Genomic DNA, 22,982 nt, shown 5'->3' with positions numbered 1-22,982 from the left:
ATATTACACATTTTATCAAAATACATATTTTTTCTTTTTAAATTGATTTATATTTTATTAACACATAGTTGTACATGTTTTTGCAGTGTATGTGATAATTTGATATATTCATATCAAATTTGGGTAATTATTTATCACCTTAAATATTTGTCTTTTCTTTACTCTAGAAACATTCAAATTGTTCTCTCCTAGCTCTTTAGAAATGTACAATTGATTAATATTAACTGTAGTCACTGTACTGATATTTGTGCCCATTAATCAATCAATCTTCATTTCCCCCCTTCCCTCTACACTTCCTGGCCTCTGGTAAGCTCCAATCACTCTCTATCTTCATGAAATCCACGTTTTTTTAAGCTCCCATATATAAGTGAGAACCTGCAATAGTCATCTTTTTGTGCCCATTTCACTAAATTTTGTGCCCATTTCACTTTTTGTGCTAATTTCACTAAACATAACGACTTCTGGTTCCAGCCATGGTGCTGAAAATGACAGGATTTTTTTTTCTTTTTTTCTTTTTTTTTTTTTTTTGAGACAGAGTCTCTGTTACCCAGACTGGACTGCAGTGGCGTGACCTCGGCTCACTGCAACCTCCACCTCCCAGGTTCAAGCCATTCTCCTGCCTCAGCCTCCCGAGTAGCTGGGACCATAGGCGTGTGCCACCATGCCCGGCTAATTTTTTGTATTTTTAGTAGAGACAGGGTTTCACCGTGTTAGCCAGGATGGTCTCGATCTCCTGACCTCATGATCCGCCCACCTCAGCCTCCCAAAGGGCTGGGATTACAGGCGTGAGCCACCGCGCCCACCTGGATTTCATTCTTTCTAAGGCTGAATAATGTTCCATTTGTAGGTATACATTTTCTTTATCCATTCATTCACTGATGGACACTCAGGTTGATTCCATATTTTGGCAGTTGTGACTAGTGCTGGAGTAAACATGGAGTGTAGATATCTCTTTAATAAGTTGATTTTTCTTTTGGCTACACATCCAGTAGTGAAACTACATATGGTAGTTCTATTTTTAGCTTTTGGATAAACCTCCATAGTCCTTTCATAGTGACTCTACTAATTTACATTCCCACCAAGAGTACATATATGGTTCCCCTTTCTCCATACCTCGCCAGCATCCATTTTTCGTTGTCTTTTTGATAAAACCATCTAAACTGGGATAACATGATATCTCCTTGTTTTTGATTAGTATTTCTCTGATATTAGCGATGTTGAGCATTTTAAAATATACCTATTGGCCATTTGCATATCTTATTTTGATACATGTCTGTTCAGATCTTTTCTTTTTTTTTTTTTTTTTTTTTGAGATACAGTCGCAGTCTGTTGCCAGGCTGGAGTGCAATGGCACGGTCTCTGCTCACCACAACCTCTGCCTCCCAGGTTCAAGCAATTCCCGGGTTCAAGTGATTCTTCTGCCTCAGCCTCCCAAGTAGCTGGGATTACAGGTGCACACCACCACACCCGGCTAATTTTTGTATTTTTGTAGAGACGGGGTTTCACCATGTTGGCCAGGCTGGTATTAAACTCCTGATCTCAGGTGATCTGCCTGCCTCGGCCTCCCAAAGTGCCGGGATTATAGGCATGAGCCACAGTGCCCAGCCGTGCCCTTTTTAAATCAGATTTTTCGTGTGTGTGCTACTAAGTTGTTTGAGCTCCTTATATATTCTAGTTACTTATCCCTTGTTGATGGATAGTTTACAAATATTTTCTCTCATTCTGTAGGTTGTCTCTTCACTTTGATTCTTTCCTTTGCTGTGCAAAAGCTTTTAGGCTGGATGTAATTCCATTTGCCTACTTTTGCTTTTGTTGCCTGTGCTTTTCATGTCTCATACAAAAATGTTTTGCCCAGACCAATGTCCTGAAGCATTTCCCCAAAGTTTTCTTTCAGGAGTTTCATAGCATCAGGCTTATATTTGAGTCTTTTATACATTTTTATTTGATATTGGTATATGGTGAAAGATGGGGTCTAGTTTCATTATTTTGTGTATGGTTATCCAGTTTTCCCAGCACAATTTACTGAAGAGACTGTCCTTTCCCCATTGCATATTTTGGTGCTTTTGTTGAAAATGAGTTGGCTCTAAATGCGTGGATTTATATCTGGGTCCTCTATTCTGTTCCATTGGTCTATGTATCTGTTTTTATACCACTACCATGCTGATTTGGTTACTATAGCTTTATAGTCTATTTTGAAGTCAAGGTAGTGGGTTGCCTCCAGCATTGTTCTTTTGCTCAGAATTGCTTTGGCTATATGGGGTCTTTGGTGGTTCCATATACATTTTATGATTTTTTTTCTATTTCTGTGAAGAATATCACTGGTATTTTGATAGGGATTGAATTGGATCTGTGAGCTGCTTGTCATAACAATATTAATTCTTCAAATTCATAAGCATGGAATATCTTTTCATTTTTTTGTGCCCTCTTCAATTTCGTTCATCAGTGTTTTATAGTTTTCCCTGTAGAGATCTTTCACATCTTTGATTCAATTGATTCCTAGGTAACTTATATCATTTGTGGCCAAAAGCAACAAATCTAATTTTTAAAAATCAAACCTTAATAAAAATTACCTTAGCAATATCTTACTACATTCATTCTTAGATCCTCCAACAGCTTATGCTAAACATAATTTTACATTGGTGGCAAGGGTTTCTTTGGTTGTTTGGCTGTTTTCTTTTTCCCCCTCAACTAATGCTAGGAAGTTGTCTGTAATATATATAATTTTGCTTTTAATTATTGATATTTTAACACTTTATATAGCATATTTGTAAAAATGTTTTTAATCAACCAATTTAGGTAAGATCGTTCTTTTCCCCCAAAATGACCACCGTTTTTCTATATACATTATTTATTTGACAAACATAGATTGAGGACCTACTTGGTACTCTAGGGCATATGAAGATGAATAAGACAGGACCCCTAGACTTTAGAATATTTAGTGGTATGTACATTATTTATTTGAACCTATTTAGAAAATATGCACAGTTAAAAATATATATATAAATTACCATATAATTTCAGATGAGAAACAGACTTATTATTGTTTGTGGGGGAGTCCAGGAAGGTTTCCTGAAGGAAGTGTCATATGACCTGAGCTTAAGTGTTAGATAGACATTGAACATGGGGGAATGGAAGTTATTCTAGGCAAAGAGAAAAATGTGAGGAAAGTCATATAGGTAAAAAGATGTAGGCAGCCAGATTGGAGAATCAACAGAAGTTAAGTCCTTTGAGGACACGGCCATAAAGAAAATTATGGATGATAGAAATAAACTTTTCTAGTTTTTTTAAAGGCAGTAAATAGCTAAAATAAATGTGAAGATTTGACTTTGGATCTTGTAAATTTTGATCCCATATCTTCAAATATTACCACACCAGATACATTCAAACAATATTTACACTGGATCTATATCTCATATGAAAAAGGGGGCATTTAAATGATGTTCAGAATCAACCAAGTAACATTCAAGAATATAACTCATTCACTATCCTCAGCAATGGAGATGTTATCTCAGATATGAATATTTTGAAAAACCTGAAGTGAAATAAGCTGCTAAATTTTTAAAAAAATAACCAGTTCTTTCAGGCTAAGAAAACTGAAGGCCAAAATGTGTTACTTTTTACTTTCGGCTACAGTTTAAGCAGAAAGAAATGACAGCACATTAATCATATTATGTAGTAAAATAATGGCCCTAGGGTGGGGTCATTATAAATGATGACATCTTTGGAACTGTTTGACTAATGCTGTAAATTATCTCTGTGCTGTACTAAGTGTTAGAGTATAATATTTTTTATATCTCTGGATTGCAAGGGATTAGCAATACCTTTACAAAGCAATTAATTTAGGAAGATTTAAAATGAAGAGTAGACTGAAGTTATTCACGGCTGTTCATGGTATTAAACTTGATACACTGGCAGAGGCAGTAAAGAATTTCAGGCAGGTACACTGGCACAGATCTTTAAAATCCAATTTGTAACACATATCTAAAGACACTCACACAGATATTTTTTAAAAAGACAAGAAATGCAATAGAGGAAATGAAACATTTCTAAGTAACACAATTAGAAAGTAAGAAGATAGACTATTTCTAAAAGTGATCACAGAGGATCACAGAGTCTATCAGGGAAAAACATCTTCAATTTGGAAGTAAATAGTTGCAGGATGAAAATAAAAATTCAAGCAAATAATTTTTATTAGTGTGACCATAAAAACTCCATGTTTTTTGCAAAAATTTTAAGCCCTAGAATAAATCCTATAGACTTGTGTTTTCTTTTTTTTTAACCAAAATCAACAATGTTCTGGATTTCCTCTTCATGCAAGGCTAACATCTATCTGTTAGAAATCCAGAATGAAAAAGAAAAATCATTCCAAGTTATCTGGATTAATACTTTTACAAGCTTATGAATTTTTATACAAAACTAAAAGAAATGAAAAGGTTAAAGAAGTAACATAGACAAGATTCTTACACATTTTTACTGCAATGCTGGCAACAGTGGCCTCTGAGAGATATAACACCTTTATAAAGCTTAGTAATGCCAACACTGAAGGGATTTAAAAAATATGCCATCATCAGTCCAAAGAATGTAAGTTGGCTGGCTATTGTCAACAGATTGCAGAATAAAGAGAGATGGAAATAACTCAAACCAAACACAAGATTGCATTTAATTATGTGAGGCATTATTTGAAGGGCTCTGATTTTGTATGCCTGCAAATCCTTTCAGTTTAACCAAAGCATAACAACAAATACCTGAAACTTACCTGAAAATATTACTGATTTTGAAATATTTTTAAATTAAAGATGGGCAATGAGATGTTTTAAGAATGTAAAAATGGTGGATAGCTTGTGGGCTTACAAGTGAATTTTTAAGTTATGTATTCTGAAAGGTGGTTATTTTCTCTGCTCTGTTGCTGCCAAAACCCATTCAAATTCATTTTGCAACAATGTTTACGATGCTGAAACAGCTCCTTTATTGTGACCCACGGGATGTAAGACTGATTATGTATACTGTCTAGATTTTGAGGTGGCATTTCCTATGTCATTTTGCCATCCTAGATTCTGTTGAAAAGGGGAAAAAATGAACTCAAGTTTTTCCCATTTTGAAGACTAATCCTTTTCCCTTTAAAATAATTTACTTCGTTTTCTTAGGATATTATGCTTTCCAGCAGTCCATATAAGGACAGTTTAACTTTTTAAAAAGTTTAAACTTACAACCTATGTATTTAAGTTTTCAGACCAATTTGAAGTTCCACTAGAGAAAAACAATCATTTAAAGGTAAGAACTAATGTTGCACTAATATTTAATGTCCTGCTTGTAAGTATAAGACAATAGTGTGGGGTAGCTATGTGGACAGCCATAGGGAAAAAATACAAACCATCCTTAAAATATTACCTACCATGTCAGCAACAGTTTTTTATTTCATATTAAGCTCTCAGAACCTGAAAATCTGAATGTCTTAGCACAGTTGCTATACTACAAAATACCACAGACTAGATGGCTTAAATAACAGGCATATATTTCATAGTTCCAGAGGCTGGGAAGTCCAAGATCAAGGTGCTAGCACATTTAGTTCTTGTTGAGGGCTCTCTTCCTGCCTTGCTGACTACTTCTTGCTGTATCTTCACATGGCAGAGAAGAAGCTCTAGTGTCTCTTTTCTTTTTTTGAGATGGAGTCTCACTCTGTCGCCCAGGCTGGAGTGCAGTGGCGTGATCTTGGCTCACTGCAACGTCCACCTCCCGGGTTCAACAGATTCTCTTGCCTCCACCTCCCAAGTAGCTGGGACTACAGGCGCATGCCACCACACCTGGCTAATGTTTTGTATTTTTAGTAGAGATGGGGTTTCACTATGTTCAGGCCAGGCTGGTCTTGAACTCCTGACCTTGTGATCTGCCCGCCTCGGCCTCCCAAAATGCTAGGAGTACAGGTGTGAGCCACTGAGCCTGGCCTCTTCCTTTTCTTATAAGGACACTAATCTCATCATGGGAGATGTACCCTCACAACCTCATCTAAACCTCATTGCCTCCCAAAGACCCCAAGTCCTAATATCATCACATTGGGAGTTAGGGCTTCTATATATGAATTTTGGAAAGACATCAATATTTAACACCAACTATATAAAGTTTGAAGGTCCCTTAATTTCTTTATTCTCCAACTTTATTCCAATTCTTTCAAGTCTAAGGTATATCTGAGTTTTATGTATTACATATAAATAGAACTTTTAGTTGAATAAAATAGGTGATACTTTTGGGAAAACAAAACATAACATTATTAAAAACTCATTATAAATAAATGTAGCAGGTTAATGTAGTTTAGAAAATAGTTACATAAAAGTATTAGTCTTCAAAAGCATTTTCCAAACCTTTCCTCTAATTTTTTGAGACAGGGCAAAGGAAGAAACCGAACAGTCTTTGCTAATCATTTGAAAAGATTTTTTGGGGGAAAATAGAGAATTCAAATGACAGATTAGTTAAAAATTATAATATAAACCTGCCTATCATATGCCTAAAAACATGAAATTGAAAAGTCAACTATTCTTACTTTTAACACTGTATTGTCTTCAATTCTCAGGATATGTACTAATTTCCAGATGAGTAACTTGGTTAGAAAGGGATGACACTGAACCTGAGGATTACTGATAACAAAAAATAAAACTCTAATATTGGGAGAATTCTGTGCATGACAATAGCAGTAGCCTTATATTAGCAGACAGAGTACTGCTATAATCATTTTATTATATTTGTCAGAATAAACATTTAGAATTATATGGGAGTGACTTCTTATTGTATTTATAACCATTTTCAGGCCCTAGGATAGCATAACAGAAAGTAGAAAGTGAGAAGAATCAGTGAAACATTAGCTTCTGAGCAGTGTCAAAGTTTTTGCCCCTTTTCCTAAAGAAAACTTAGTAATTCCTTTCTATTTCTTTCACTTCTTTCCTTCATTTTTTCTGTATCCTTCTTTCTTTCCCTTCTTTCTCTCTACCGTACAGATAGGCAGGTATTTTTTTAATTTCAAAAAATAAATACAAATAGTTCAAAGCAAGCTGGGAAAAACACCTTACCAACAGGGCCATATTTTAAAAGAAAGTATATAAATGTGCTTTAGTAAATATATTATTTTTAAATTTTATTTAACAAGCATTTATTGTCCCTAGTACTTTCCAGGTACTTTTTTGTTTTTAAAATATTGACTTATTTAACCTTAACAACCTGTGAGGCAGATATCACTATTATCATCCCCAATTTATAGATAAGGAAACTGAGGCATAGAGAGGTATGTACCTTGCAGGTACCTTGCTCACAGTCACAGAACAAGCAAGTGATGGAAAGAAAGATTATGAGTGAAAAAAACCTTGGGAGAATTTGGAAACTATTTTTTTCCTCTTAAAGTATTACTTTGTTTCTGTTCTATACATGAGATTGTATTTCCACCTTTATTACAAAAGGACTTTTTACTACATTTGGCTTTTTACAATCTTAAATGGTTTTTATTTTCATGAAATAGTTTGTTTATTGGTTTAAATGATATGGCAGCTTACTCCCTTGTGCTTCTCTGTCATTGCCCTTGAGAATGTTCCGATGCACAGAAAAGGAAACTCTCACAGCTATAATTTCAAGTTAGGGACCAGGGTCATGTCAACATCTCGTTCTCCCTAAATTCTCTATGGCCTCTGAGGAAACCTTCTATAGGTATACCTTCCTGCCTCTTAGCAACGGTTTATCTAAACTCCTTTCTCTTAGCAAGGACTTATACCTTGGCTTACTAAATGAGTGGTGGGAGTGGAAGAGAAAGGATTAAATCATTTCTACAAAGGTCTCACCCTTTCCAAAGTTTCCCATTCTGAGTTTTCAGTAAGCAATAAAAACAGTTAAAAAATCATTTACAGAGCACCTTCTAGGTAACACATACAGTGATAGTACTAGAAATATAAAGAGAAATAAGATACAATTACTGTCCTGCAGGAAATACGGCAAATAATAAAATACTAAATCTTATGAAGAATGTAAATTCTTCATAAATTTCAAGAAAGTGAGCAATAATTTCCCTGAATAAGATCATTTGAAAACTAATGGCTGCAAGATTTTTAAAAACGTATTTGTAGAATAACATGAAAATTCAAGAGGAGATTTTTTTCCCAGATTTATACAAGAGTATTATGCTACTTGGAAATAATACTTTCTTGGAAATCATCACAAGTCATTACATCGCCCGGGTGAAGTCTGAATTTAAAAAATCAAGTTCAATGTATGTAAGCTTCTGAAACAAAAGCAACACATTATCCTAACTTTAAAGAAGAGAAGGAGGGAGAGAAGGAAGAGGGACTAGAAGGAGAGGAAGTGGAGGGGGGAAACAATATTCTTTCAATCTAAGGGGTTAAAGGAGCAACAGTAAGGATTTCTTTACAGAAGACTTCTTATCTCTTGTGAATTTAGTACACTCATTGGTGCTCTACAGATTGAATGAGAGGTGGAATGATATCATCCAGCTAGGTACTGTTTGATGAATCTGCTTTTTTCAAACTGGTGAATCACCAAATGGCTGCTTCAGGTAAAAAGTTGCATGCTTGACTAAACCTCATCTCTACAAAAAATACAAAAATTAGCCAGGCATGATGGTGTGTGCTTGTGGTCCCAGCTACTTGGGAGGCTGAGGTGGGAGGATCGCTTGAACCCAGGAGAAGCCAAGATCACACCACTGCACTCCAGCCTGGAAGACACAGTGAGACCCTGTCTCACACAAACACACAAAAAAAGTTGTATGCTTTCCTTACCAAAATGAATTAGGCCCTCCCTAAGTCTTTAATGCATTATTAGGAAGATAATTTAAACATGTGAGAGAAGTTGGTAATCCACCATAAATCCAGAATGTTTAAAATGATTTTTATAAAAGTAAGTTTTAGAATAGGAATAGAAATGTGAAAAGTAGGAGTAAGGAAAAGACAGTGGGCAGTGGCTTATGTCTGTAATCTCAATGCTTTGGGACACTAAGGTGGGAGGGTCACTTGAGGCCAGGAGTTTGAAACCAGCCTGGGCAACTTAGTGAGACCCCCATCTCTACAAAAAATAAAAAAGAATTAGCTGGGAAAGGTGGCGCCCCTGCGGTCTCAGTCACTCAGGAGCCTTGGGTGGAGGATTGCTTAAGCCCAAGAATTGGAGGCTGCAGTGACCTAGAATCACGCCACTGCACTCCAGCCTGAGTGACAGAGTAGGACTCTGTCTCTTTAAAAAGAAATTTTAAAAAAGTGAGAAAGGAAAAGAAAAGGGAGGCGGGAAGGAAATGAATAAGCATTGAAAACATTCTTCATGAATATCTGAACCCTATTATAAAAAAGAACAATTAAACATCATCTTGATTTTATTTTACCTTACCTTATGAATTTTTCCATAAGAAATCTAACGTATTAAAAGTCCATTACATTGTGCAAAATGCCAGTTTTAACAGTAAACATGACAGCATTAACTTTTGTGTGTTCCTACTTTGCCAGTTCTTGCTTCACTAGCTAAAGAGCCCTGTGTCTATGAAAGCTCCACAGCCATGGCTCTGTCATTTATTTTTCTGAAGAAGAAATATTATTATCTCCAAACCTGGGGCCTCAGGAATACCACATCAGACAATAAAAATGGGTCAGACTATAAAATGGGTCTAATACTAACAAGAGATTGAACATCATAGAAGAGTGGGCAAAGTCCATTTACCTAACTTATTTCATGTGATTCTCATAATTCTGATGTTAGATACTAAGACCTTATTATCTCAATTTTTTAAGTGAAATAATTGAAGTTTGCAGAGGATCAGGGACTTTTCTAGGTTCACTTAACTAGTGTCTAGCAGGACAATGCTTAACCAGTATTTCCTAACTCCAAGTTGTTTACTCTTTCCATTAGATCACCATCCATTCTCTCAAAAATCTAACTGAGGTTAGGTTGGACTACAGAGGAACGAACAGCTGTTTGGGATGATCAGCAGCTTAGAGAATAGCATTAGAACTTACAAGAATGTACCCAGGGTATTGAAATTTATAATAAAAACAAACCTCCCAATTACAAAATAATTTCAGGATAAAAAAGGTTTACACCTAATAAGGCCATTCTCTTCTTTCCCAAAAACTTCATGAAAAGTTAATGCAGACAGTTGGAGCATTTTAGCTCCTCTGCTGGTCTGGCCTCTGACTAAAAATAAACAAGCCCTCTCCCCTGCAGAAGCTTTGCTGAAGCCCAGCAAGAGGTTAGAGAAATAGCAGACATGGGCTTAGCTGATTTGATGCTAGGCTAAGAGAAAAATCCAGGCTTAAGGTCTCTGATGTGAAAAAGAGGAATGGATTGAGAGGGCACCTAACACCTAGTTTCAGTTCAGATACTAACTAGTTACATATGACCTTAAACACATTTTGAAACCCTTTATGATTACTTCCTACATCCTTTCTTAGTTATCTCAGAACATGACCTAGTGCGGAGTTTCTGACACTGTGATCCTTAGACTACCAGCCTCAGAACCACCTGGGAGTGTTTGTTGTTAAATGCAGATTCCTGGGCCCTACATCCAGACCTACTAAACGAAAATGCCCTCAGATGAACCCAGGAAAACCAAGGTATGCTTTCAAAGTTTGCATGCTTAAAATGTGCCAAACACTAGGAGGGCTTTTGAAATAAATTACACATAATTTTGATCCCAACCCCAACATTTACTGGAAAATTACTTCACCTTTATCTCTGTGGAGTTTGCAGCCCCAAGCCTTTTCTTCTCAGTCACACTCAGCCAGCTAAGCCTCTCTGGACCTCACTTTTCCAACCTCTGAAATGGGTAAGACAACATTCAGCATATTGAGTGGATATGAAAAATAAATGAGATCATGCATTTATATCTTCAGTGTGCCTAACAATTTATAACACGTAAAAAATAATAAATATTAGGTAACTTTACTTTGTAATAACAGGCCTTAGCATAATAATAGCAGATATTTGATACTTACTATACATAGTACCTGGCACATTCCATGTCTTAATTCATGTAACTATCATAATAATCCGATGAAGAAGGCACTATTATTATGCTCAGTTCTTCTAGAGAGGAAGAGTCTGAGGCATGGAAGGTTAGGTAACTTGCACAGGGTCACACAGACAGTAGGTGATGGAGTCACAAGCCCTCTATGCGAATCAGCTACAAAATTGAGAATTTCTCTTTTAGAATCACTGCCACCATCACTGCCTTCAACAAATACATGGCAGAGCTGCATCCCACTTAGAAGTTATGAAATTGGGGCCAGATTATTTTGATACATACCACATTTTGAGATACACTGCCAAATTAAGAGGCTAAAAAAATTACATCTCCTGAGTATTTAATGTTCCTCCCTATATAAGTATTATACTATTTTAATTATTATAGCTTTAAAATGTGGTTAAATATCTATTAATATTGATTAGGCCAGATACCCAATGGTGAAGAGAAGATATAATTGAAATTCATAAACTCATGGAAGGGAGAGGCATTTAGCATATTCACCAAACTCTAATAATAATATAATGAATATGTTAAAAATAGAAATCTTTTAAAAAATTTGCTGTGAATCCTGAAAACTAAACTATAAATTCTAAAATTTTGATATAATTATTGGGAAATTTTTAATTAAAATAATGCTTGCAGCCAGGCACGGTGGCTCACACCCGTAATCCCAGCACTTTGGGAGGCTGAGGCAGGTGGATTATGAGGTCAACACATCGAGACCATCCTGGCCAACATGGTGAAACCCCGTCTCTACTAAAAATACAAAAATTAGACAGGCGTGGTGGTGGGTGCCTGTAGTCCCAGCTACTCGGGAGGCTGAGGCAGGAGAATCACTTGAACCCTGGAGGCGAAGGTTGCAGTGAGCCAAGATAGCGCCACTACACTCCATCCTGGCCACAGAGTGAGACTCCATCTCAAAAAAAAAAAAAAAGTGCTTAGTTTTATAATTGTAAATTATAAATATTTAAAAATTCTACTCAAACTATGATCAAATACAAAATTACTATTAACATATTGGTATATTTCCCATTAATCTCCTCATGAAAAGTTATTTTTGTTTTGCTTATATACTTATATTCACACTATTTATATACCTTTACGTCCTATGTCATTTAACATAAAATTTATAAGCATTATTTCTTATATTCACATGCTACTTAAAATTACTTTAATAACTGCATAAGATGCCTACTTCTGAGTTGTAAGTTAAACAACTACAATTATGATTATTTTGACTAATCTCCTACCTAGGTGTTTAGGTTGTTTCCAATTTTGTACATTTACGAATGAAACTGGAATTCATATTTGCCTCACCCAGTTTCAGGATTATTTCCATTAAAAAAATTCCCAGAAGTATAACTGCTAGATCAAATGCAACTCTTTATATCAATAAAAATTATTGAATTATCCATTTCAAAATGTTTGGCAATGTATTTTTAATACATACTAAAAACAAATAAAATGTTTTATTTCTTATTTTGTTTAATCTTCTACTCCTATATCCATATTATATTTTAGCTAGTACAGTGTAGCTTTAAAATATGGTTCAGTGTCTACCATAGCTTGTGTAATTCATTTCTCTTCCTTTCAAAATATTCTGTGAATTTTTGTGTGTTTTTAATCTTCCAGATAAACTTTAGAATGATTTTAAGTCAGAAAATCAAACTTTCATTATGATTTTTACTAAAATTGTGTCAAATCTATAATTTGGAGGTAACTGACATTTGGAAGTATTATTTTTGATATATGGAAACATAGTTTGTCTATTATTTATCTCTTTTTAATTCTTTCAAAGCTTAATCACTTTTTATTCCTATAGGTCACAAATATTCCTTAGTAAAGGTATTCTTAAAGTTTTGTTGCTATAGTGAATGTGCTTCTCCTTTCATTCATTTCTTAACAGCTTTGAGGTATAATTTACATATAAAATTTATAGTTTAAGTATATAATTCAATGATTATTTTTAGTAAATGAGTTGCTCACTTGCACCACAATCTAGTCTTAGAATGTTTCCATCACCACAAAAGGATTTTACCTTCTGTTGGTGGTTTCTCATTTATCTGTTACAGTCAAAGAACGTACTTTATGTGATTTTATTCCTTTTAAATCTATTCAGATGTGTTTTATGGCCTAGAATATGGTCTATTTTGGAGGACAGTCTGTGTGTGCTTGTGAGGAATGTCTATTCTGCTTTTGTTTGGTGGATAGAGTTGGTGGATCAGTAGTCTGCTGATCGTGTTGTGTAAGTGTTAAGTGATACAAAACATATCCTTGCTAATTTTGTATCTAGTTGTTCATCAATTATCGAGATTGGGGTGTTGAAGTCTCCAATTATTATTGTCTATATCTCTCTTTAGTTCTGTGATTTATTGCTCCATGTACTTGGGGAAATCTGAGGTATATATATAACTTTTCTATTTTCCTGTTGAATTAACCCCCTTATCATTATGAAATGTACTCTTTGTCTCAAGTATTTTATTTATTTTTGTCTCAAAGTGTATTTTGTCTAATATTAGTGTATTCACTGCAGGTCTTTAATGGTTACTGTTTGTATGATATATCATTTTCCATCCTTTTAACTTTCAGACTAAATTTTTGAATCTAAAGTCTGTCTCATGGCAACCTGTGGTGGCTCATGCCTATAATCCCAGCACTTTGGGAGGCCAAGGTGAGTGGATCACCTGAGGTCAGGAGCTCAAGACCAGCCTGGCCAACATGGTGAAACCCTGCCTCTATCAATAATACAAAAATGAGCCAGTATGGTGGTGGGCACCTGTAATCCCAGCTACTTAGGAGGATAAGGCAGGAGAATCACTTGAATCCAGGAGGTGGAGGTTGCTTGGAGCCAAGATCCCAACACTGTACTCCAGCCTGGCTGACAGAGTGAGACTCCAACTCAAAAAAAAAAAAAAAAAAAAAAAAAAAAAAAAAAAAAAAAAAAAAAAGGGAAAAGCAAAAGCTTGTCTCTTGTAGACAGAAGATAGTTGGATCTTGCTTTTCAAAATCCAGCCTGACAATCTCTGCCTTTTGGTTGGAGTATTTAATCTATTTACTCATAATGAAATTACATCTTAACCATCCCTAATCTGAAAATCCAAAACTGAAATTCCCCCAAATCCAAAACTTTTTGAGTGCTGACACGAAGTCACAAGTTGAAAATTCCACACCTGACCTCATATGATGGATCACAGTCAAAATGCAGATACACAACACACAGTTTACTTAATGTCTCCAAAGAGACCCTCCCAGCCCCCTTCAGCTGTGAAGTATCTTTTCCACACATGCCCCAGACTTCGTCATGCAGGCACATCCACAAAGGGTAATAAAATGGCACATGTCAGGCAAGACACACCAATGGCGGGTTGCCTGTGATGCCCTACATGAGGCCAAGACCTACATGCCTTACTCATTATGTTGTTTTGTTTTGCTTATTCTCTTCTCTGTGGTATAAAGGTATTGTGGAAAATGTAGAAAGATCTGCAGATACCCTTATGAGTAACAGTAGTAAAGAAAAGAGGAAGCATTTATACTTATCTATAGCACAGAAAGTCAAGCTGTTGAAGAAACTGGATGGTGGTATAAGTGGAAAATGTCTTATAGAAGAGTATAGTGTTGGAGTGACCACCATGTATGACCTGAAGAAAGAGAAGGATACATTGTTGGAAGTTCTATGCTGAAAGTGATGAACAGAAGTTAATGAAAAATAGAAAAGCAATGCATGGAGTGAAATATGAAGTCCTTGAATATGTATTGAAAGAATGGAACCATCAGTGTCACAGTGAATACATGCCACTTAATGGTATGCTGAACATGAAACTTGCAAAGATCTATCACGATGAACTGAAAATTGAAGGGAACTGTGAACATTCAACAGGCTAGTTGCATAAATTTAAGAAAAAGCACAGCGTTAAGGTTTTGAAGATTTGTACCATTTCCTGATCATGAAGCAAGGGAGATATTCACTGATGAGGTTACTAAGGTCATCACTGATGAAAATCTGATACCAGGACAGGTCTGTAATGCTGATGAAACATCACTGTTTCGGCATTATTGCACCAGAAAAACACTGACTACAGCTGGTGAGACAGCTTCAATAGGAATTAAGGATGCTAAGGACAGAATAACTGTTCTGGGATGTGCTAATGCAGCACGCATGCATAAAGAAAACCTTGCTATGATAGACAAAAGCTTATATCCTTGTTGTTTTCAAGGAGTAAATTTCTTTCCAGTAAATTATTATGCTAACAAAAAGGCATAGAGAATTAGGGATATCTTTTCTGATTGGTTTCACAAACATTTGGTACTAGTGGCTCTTGCTTGCTGTAGGGAATCTAGACTGAATGATTAACGACTGCAAGATTTTGGCACTGCTTGATAAGGATTCTGCTCATCATCCAGCAGAAATTCTCATTAAAAATGTTTAGGTCATGTATTTTACCCTAATTGTGACTTCATTAATTCATCCATGTGACTAGGGTGTTCTTGGATCAATAAAGAATAAATATAAAAAGTTTCTTGATCAGCATGCTAGCAACAGTGAACAGAGGCATGAGTGTGGAAAGTTTTCAAAAGGAGTTTAGCACGAAGAATGCCCATGTTTGGAATACAGTGACAAATACACAGTTGTGCATGCCTGGCACAACCTCTGGGCTATAACTATGTTCAGTGATGGTGATGAACAAAGTGGTGACTTTGAAGGTTTCTATATGTCACATGAGAAAAAAAATAATGTCTGACCTCCATACATATACAAAAAAATACACCTTCAGAGTCTGGCAGTAAGATGGAAGAAACAGATGTCATGTAAGTTTTTACCAGCAATAATGCGGCTCTAATTATTCATTCATTGATCCATGGGGAAATAGCCAAAATGGTTCTTAATCAAGGTGATTATGATAATAGTGATGATGAAGATGATGTTAACACCGTAGAAAAAGTGCCTATAGATGACATGGTGAAAATGTGTGATGGGCTTATTGAAGGACTACAGCAGTTTATTTAGTATCCCCAAATGGGTTAAAACATGGATTTTTAGATTTTAAAATGCTGGGCTTCACCCTCAGAGTTTCTCATTCAATAGATTTTGGTCAGGGGACAAGAATGTGTATTTCTAACAAGTTTCCAGGTGATGATGATATCATCCTGGGATCCACACTTTACAATTCAATGACCGAGTATATTTATTTTTATGAGAGAATGTGTATTACTTGATTTCAGTTTATTCTCAATTACACAAAAAATAAATGAGGACACTTAATATTTTGAAAACATAAGATGGAAGAATGTATAGCTATAGCAACACATCTAACTAAACTATTACTCAGTAACCAAAAAAACTCAATAGATTCTCCAAAGCACAAATCAAGATGTCCTTTGCTGAACTGTATGAAGTTTCTGTGTTTTATTTTAATTAACTGACATGCTAAGGACAAACATTTTCTCGAACTTATTTGTTCTATAAATTGTTAACACATGAGTTTAAAAATATTTATATGGTAATAATTATCAGTCATCTTTTCTTTTGATTACTGATTGCTTTTGTGATTTAAAAAAATATTTTTCTATCCCGAGATTAGATATTCACCAGCAATTTCCTGATTTTTGATTTTGTCTTTCTTTACATATATCACTTTGGTCTACCTAGAAATTATTTTGATGCATGTATATTTTACTCAATTTTTAACTAAAATAAATACAATTATTTTTATACAGAAAATTCTTTAGGCATACTATATTCAGGGCATTGCAGTAAATACTCTCAGTGTTTATAATTATCTTTGTAAGATGCATATTAAAACAGCAAACATTGTTGAATTCTCCAAGTTAGTTTTATTTTATAGCATGAGGTGGTATAATCTTCTTAAGCATTCCTGGAAATATTTTTTTAAAAAAAATCACAAACGTATCACACATATCTAAAATTAAGTGTGCCAACTATATACCTTTGATGTTTCCTGAGAGTCCTGAGTTTGCAAAACCTTACCTATATAGCAACATTCAACTGTGTACAATTTTATGAATCAGGCATCACATTTTCCACGAGTCCACTCCACAGAAATGGCTTCAGTCCATTTCATCAAACTGCTATGTTGTGTCAATAAGCTTTCTATGCACTATTCCACTTTTAAGAACTGATGGCCCTTGTACATTTGGGTTTTTTTCAACCAACAGTTGCATGCTAAGAACATCTTCCAAATTCTGTTAGAAGACTGAAGAGGAACTTGGTCAGTTTTTCAGCAGTCATCCATGTCCTCTTGTTCTCATTTCTGTTTTCTTCCTCCAAAAAAAATCACTTCCCCTATCTTTGGCTCATTTATTTTTCTATGGTATATCACTGCCTAGCATTGGAGTTGTTTTAACTTTTTCCTTCACCTAGCATTACTTATCAACATGATAGTTACATTCCCAAAAACTATATTGTAAAAGAAAGCAGGGATGAAATATTTAAGACCTGATAGGAAAAGCAGGTTTAGGAGATCAGAGTTATAGTGAATCTAAAATAAAGGCTGATGGCTCATTAAATAAATCAACTAATGGCATTTTAAATATTTTTAAATAGAAAAAATTGGCATTGTTCAATAACTAGTATTCCTTCTTCCTAACAAACTTTTTATTTCATTAACCTACTAATCATCTAAGATTCTTATGAATATGTTTTTCCTTCTTGTAAATAAAAATTGTTATGAAATATTTTTTCTTGGATCTTCATGAAATGAAAAATGCTTTTAAGTTTTATTATTCAATTACCTTATTTAGCCCTGGAAAATTGAAGAAGAAAATGCCAGTGCACTGTGATATAGTCTTAAAATCCTTCTAAATGCATTGTTTTATATTCAAAAGAACTTAATGCCAAGGCATAAATGACCACAGCAGAGCACTGCTCTACCCTAAAGGTTTTACATCCCAATTCCTTTCCTTTGGCTTATGTTGTCTCAGTTTTCTATATTTCTCTCAAGGTTACGTTACAAAATTATCTATACATACTTGCTCTTCCATATATTTTACCTCTTCTTCTCAGGGCCCTATGTTTTGCTGTAATTTTAAAAATTATCTTCAAGAAAAATTGCCCAATTTTTACAAACATAGTATCCTAAATTCCCACATTTGTGAAAAAAGTATAAATATGTAAATACACATATGTAAAATTTTGTACAGTAGGAATGTTCATTGGGGAAACGTTACTGAAACTGACACAAAGTGTTTAACAGAAATTTGCTTAAAGGGATCAAATTTCACCTGGCATAGGAACATATTTAAAACAGTGGGGTTGACACAATAGCTACATCTGTGTAACCAAACCATCAAGGCTGACAAACTAAATCCAGTTGTTAGTAAAGTTAATGACTAATTCTGATCAATACATGGCCAAAAGAAAAAGAAAACACTGTATCATAAGAGCTGAAAAACATCTACTGGGAAATGACTATTTTGTGAATACTTAAAAGCCTTATAAATGTACTATTATATTTTCACTTTTTCTAAAGTATTATAATTGGCAGGGCTCAAATTAGTAAAGTTAAATATATTTCAACATTTTATTAAACACTGAAAATATTTTATCCATATCAAGTATCAGGGGCTTAAAATGAGCTATTCCAAAAAAAAGTATCTCTCATCAATACTTTCACTTTAAAAGAATTATTATAATTTATCCATATATGAAATACAAAAATTATTAGAACATGTATTAGGCTTAAATTGATTACAAATAAAAAACATTAATCTTGCCTGTAATCCCAGCTACTCAGGAAGCTGAGGCAGGAGAATCACTTGAGCCCGGGAGGTGGAGGTTGCAGTAAGTGGAGACTGAGCCACCGCACTGCAGCCTGGGCGACAGAGTGAGACTGTCTCAAAAAAAAAAAAATTAATACGACAACACAATAATAAATAAATTTAGCTCATCACAAGGGAGCATGGTCATTAAAATGAGTTTAGCAGAATAGTCAATTCAAACTTATTTCCAAAGACTAACAGTATAAATTATAGGCAGTTTGAGATTTAAAATGTGGCAAACCAAAAATAGGGCAGTATAAAGGCTACAGAGACTCAACTACCAATGAATGACAAAGAAAAACTGGCCCAATAGTTAGTCAAAATGTGACTATTAGTACTATTAGGCTAAAATTAAAAGTATTAATAAGTCTATTGATTATAGCAAATAAACCGCCAAAAAGCTCTAACAACTAAGACCCCTTTAACAGCTGAATCAACTTAATTCTTCTTAGACAAATGCTTTTTGCCACAAATATTCATTATACATCCATTTACATATTATGTTCTTAGAAAATAAGAGAAAAAAATCAGAAAAGGAGGCTTCCACATAATAATAGGAATTATTTTTGAAAGAAAATCTGACGTGGGAATCCTAATCTAATTACTGTATCAAAGTCAACCAATTCTTGGTTGAAAGTAAACTACAGTATCATTTCATAAGAGTGTTTACTGATGAAATTAGCCAGGATAAATTGTAATGTTAACAGCCATAATAAATAAATGTCATAAAATACTAATTACTTTTAGTCAACAAAATAAGGTTATTTAACAACTGTCTTAGTCCATTTATTTTTCTATAAAGGAATACCTGAGGCTGGGTAATTTATGAAGAAAAGAGGTTTACTTGGCTCACAGTTCTGTAGGCTGTACAAGAAGCATGGTACCAGCAGCTATTTCTGGTGAGGGCCTCAGGCTGTTTCCACTTGTGGGTGAAGGTGAAGGAGAACCAGCATGTGCAGAGATCACATGGTAAGCGAGGAAGCAAGACAAAGCAGCAAGAAAATCGATAGGAGGGAGGTGCCAGGCTCTTAACAACCAGCTCTGACAGCAACTAATAGAAAACTCACTCATTATCACTAGGAGGGCATCAAGCCCTGTGTCAGGGATCCACCCCCATGTCTGAAAACATCTCCCATTAAGCCCCACCTCCAACACTGGGGATCAAATTTCAACGTGAGATTTGGAGGGATCCAACAAACCAAATGATAGCAATAATGCTCCCAAAATACAGCAGGTATATGAAATATAGCATTACTAATGAAGTGTCCTTTACATCTTCTCTGCCTGCTTCATTAGTGAATTTATTACAATAAAGTTTAAAATAAGGCAAAGAACATTCACCTTTCGGGCCAGGCACAGTGGCTCACGCCTGTAATCCCAGCACTTTGGGAAGCCGAGGCAGGCGGATCACGAGGTCAGGAGATCGAGATCATCCTGGCTAACACGGTGAAACCCCGTCTCTACTAAAAATACAAAAAATTAGGCCAGGCGCGGTGGCTCACACCTGTAATCCCAGCACTTTGAGAGGCCAAGGCGGGTGGATCACCTGAGGTCAGGAATTCGAGACCAGCCTGACCAACATGGAGAAAACTGATCTCTACTAAGGAAAATACAAAATTTTAGCCAGGCATGGTGGCACATGCCTGTAATCCCAGCTACTCAGGAAGGCTGAGGCAGAAGACTCACTTGAACCTGGGAGCAGAGGTTGTGATGAGCTGAGATCGCACCATTGCACCCCAGCCTGGGCAACAAGAGCAAAACCCCGTCTCAAATAAATAAATAAATAAATAAAACAAAAAAATTAGCCAGGTGTGGTGGCACACGCCTGTAGTCCCAGCTACTCAGGAGGTTGAGGCAGGAGAATCGCTTGAACCCGGGAGGCAGAGATTGCAGTGAGCTGAAATCTGGCCACTGCACTCCAGCCTGGGCGACAGAGCAAGCCTCCATCTCAAAAAAAAAAAAAAAAAAAAAGAGAAAAAACAACAAAAAAACAAAACCATGCACCTTTCCCTGATTTAAATGATTCATCAGTAATTATCCAAATACATGGTACTAGCCTATTAGGGAAATACCATGGTTTTAAGACAGTTGTTCTCAATCTTTTTTTTCTTCTTTTCACGAAGGCCCATTCAGGCTAGAGCAGAGAGGGGGAAGCTTACATCCAGTAAACAAAATAGCAGTGATTTAAATAAAACTGAGACCAGAAAACCGACTGCTTTCTACATTTTAGGAACTGATTATCATAAACATAAACTTATCTAACAATATCTGTATTTCTATTTGTAGCAAGCACAAAAGTTACAGTGTGCAGCACACTTTAATCACTGCGTGATTTAATTACTGTGTCAATAAAGGCAGTGGCACAGTCAGAATTTGACAGAATTGAGAAAAGTCCTGCTGAAAAGATGAGACAAGTTCTGAGATGATCATTTTTTATAATGTAAGCACTGTGTACATTTATAAATGGCACGGTAGGGATGGGAGTGGGCTGGGGGTAGAGAATTCCGTAAAACAAGGGAACTTGAGGAAATGCAAAAGACTGAAAAAAACCTGGCATCTTCCAAAGGGTAAAATTAGTATGATTGTTTAAACTATTTTGTCCTTAATTTTAGTCATTTCTAATTTAACAGCTAAAGAACAATTACTGTATAATAACTGAAATATTTAGTATACTTGGTATTACAGCACCCTCTATCACATGATCATATACAGAATACATTTCTATGAACTGGTTGCTTTAATCTGTGAACATTTATGTAGCTCTCTACTGGTTCTAGGGTTTAGTTTACTACTTCCCATCCACGGAGTCAAAAGGACTACTAACTTGTGCAGGCTTAGTATCACCAGTATATTTTAGTACCGTCTGTCCTGCAACAGCAAAAAGCATTATTGACAAAGCAATCCTGAACTCTAAATTATTCCAGGTGTGGTCCTAGTACCAACAGCATCAGAATCACCTGAGATTTTACTAGAGCTACACTAATCCAGCTGTATCCTCAGACCTTCCCTCCCAGTTATAACCTCTGGTGTTGAGGCCCAGCAATCTGTTTTAACAAGCCTTCTAGAGAATCTGGATGCATGCTCCAGTTTGAGAAGCATTACTATAGGAGAAATACAATCAAAGAGTCAAGTTAACATGTGCTATCTAAACTCTAAAGGAAATTTGTTTCATTATATATTTTGATATCCACAGCACCATTCCAATAAAACATTTAGAACAACTCTGTTAGTACTCCAAGATTACAGGAAAAAAAGAACATTATTAAAGGAAAATGTGTTGATTTTACTAACTTTGGGGAAATTACTTTTCCTTTCTCTGATTATCTAAAAGAAACGTGACATGCAAACGAATCTACATTGAGCATTTCTGAGGCTACCTTTCTGAAACTTCCATGGCCTATTTTAAAGCAAATTACTACATTCTGCTTCTCGATGGGTTCCTAACATACACAGCAGGCTTTTACAACAGCGCTTTAATAGGCCAAAGGAAACAAAAGCTTTTACAGCAGAGGCCAATGTAAGCCACAAAGCTCGTGTCATCTTCCTACCAGGCAATTAATACAGGGTCCCAGTCCTCAAAGATTAAAGAACTGATACGGGGAAGACTGAGAATGACCCAGCAACAACGCATAAGGAAGCAAAAAATAAAAGGACGCCGTTTCTTCTGGACTTAAAACTAGAGAAAGAACAGTTTCCGCTCCATTTTGGGTTTGTAAAGCTCCTCCTACAGGCAGCTTCCGCTTCAGAGTCGCCACAAAGTCCCTCCCGCGCGGGAACTCGGCGGGGCGGAGACTCGGGTCCCTCCCCGTCCAGGGCGGGAGAAAGGAAAGCAGGGGCCACGGTTTCTCTGGAAGGTTCCGAGAGAAGGGCGCGTGCCACCTCCGCGGGTGGCGGGAGACTCGGCACCAGATGGCGCTGCCGCACCGAGAGCCAGAGCCTGGGCCGCTGGGGAGACGGGAAGAGGCGTCACCGGATCCCTTCCTTTGCGCTCGTTGCCGGAAATGTGCGCTGCAACCAGCCTCTGGTCCCGGATATTAAGACTTCTGGAGGGTTCCCGCGTGAGGGCGGGGCCAGAACCGGAACCGAACGGCGACCGACGAGCCCCGGAGCGGAAACCCGGGGCGGCGCCAGCGGGCCCTGGTTGCTGGTGCGCGCGCCTCGTCTTGGTGGGAGGGCGAGGGGCGGGGTCTCGCCGTGCGCTTGCGCA

General features: G+C 36.2%; 1 protein-coding gene and 1 long non-coding RNA gene across 6 annotated transcripts in view, besides 2 other annotated features; one reads left to right on the top strand and one right to left on the bottom strand.

The window, feature by feature from the left end:
- LOC102723406 (uncharacterized) overlaps window positions 1-10,784 on the bottom strand; it is a 57,046-nt gene extending 46,262 nt beyond the window's left edge. The window contains exon 1 of one of the 2 annotated variants that reach the window (XR_007063750.1): window positions 10,700-10,784. This is a non-coding gene — a long non-coding RNA (uncharacterized LOC102723406). The remainder of the gene's footprint in view (window positions 1-10,699) is intronic. The other variant, XR_001749811.2, reaches the window with a different exon arrangement.
- Window positions 1-22,982, top strand: part of STARD13 (StAR related lipid transfer domain containing 13) — a 573,658-nt gene that overhangs the window by 111,278 nt on the left and 439,398 nt on the right. The window contains exon 1 of one of the 4 annotated variants that reach the window (XM_047430759.1): window positions 9,287-10,586. The exons of 2 other annotated variants lie outside the window; for them this stretch is intronic. In XM_047430759.1, coding sequence (XP_047286715.1) covers window positions 10,557-10,586 — 30 coding nt within the window. In that variant the 5' untranslated portion in view covers window positions 9,287-10,556. Of the gene's footprint in view, window positions 1-9,286; window positions 10,587-10,861; window positions 22,923-22,982 lie in introns of those variants that run through there. One more of the 4 variants, XM_024449429.2, reaches the window with a different exon arrangement.
- Window positions 22,401-22,510: an enhancer, noted in NCBI's record as "active region_7581". NCBI's record gives its function as "activates an Ori minimal core promoter by ATAC-STARR-seq in GM12878 lymphoblastoid cells {active_cell/tissue: GM12878}" and the evidence as "EXISTENCE:reporter gene assay evidence [ECO:0000049][PMID:35858748]".
- Window positions 22,611-22,710: an enhancer, noted in NCBI's record as "active region_7580". NCBI's record gives its function as "activates an Ori minimal core promoter by ATAC-STARR-seq in GM12878 lymphoblastoid cells {active_cell/tissue: GM12878}" and the evidence as "EXISTENCE:reporter gene assay evidence [ECO:0000049][PMID:35858748]".

The sequence above is a fragment of the Homo sapiens genome, chromosome 13 (genome assembly GCF_000001405.40).
Source record: "Homo sapiens chromosome 13, GRCh38.p14 Primary Assembly".
Taxonomy (NCBI): Eukaryota; Metazoa; Chordata; class Mammalia; order Primates; family Hominidae; genus Homo; species Homo sapiens.
This window is presented reverse-complemented; position numbering and strand designations above follow the sequence as displayed.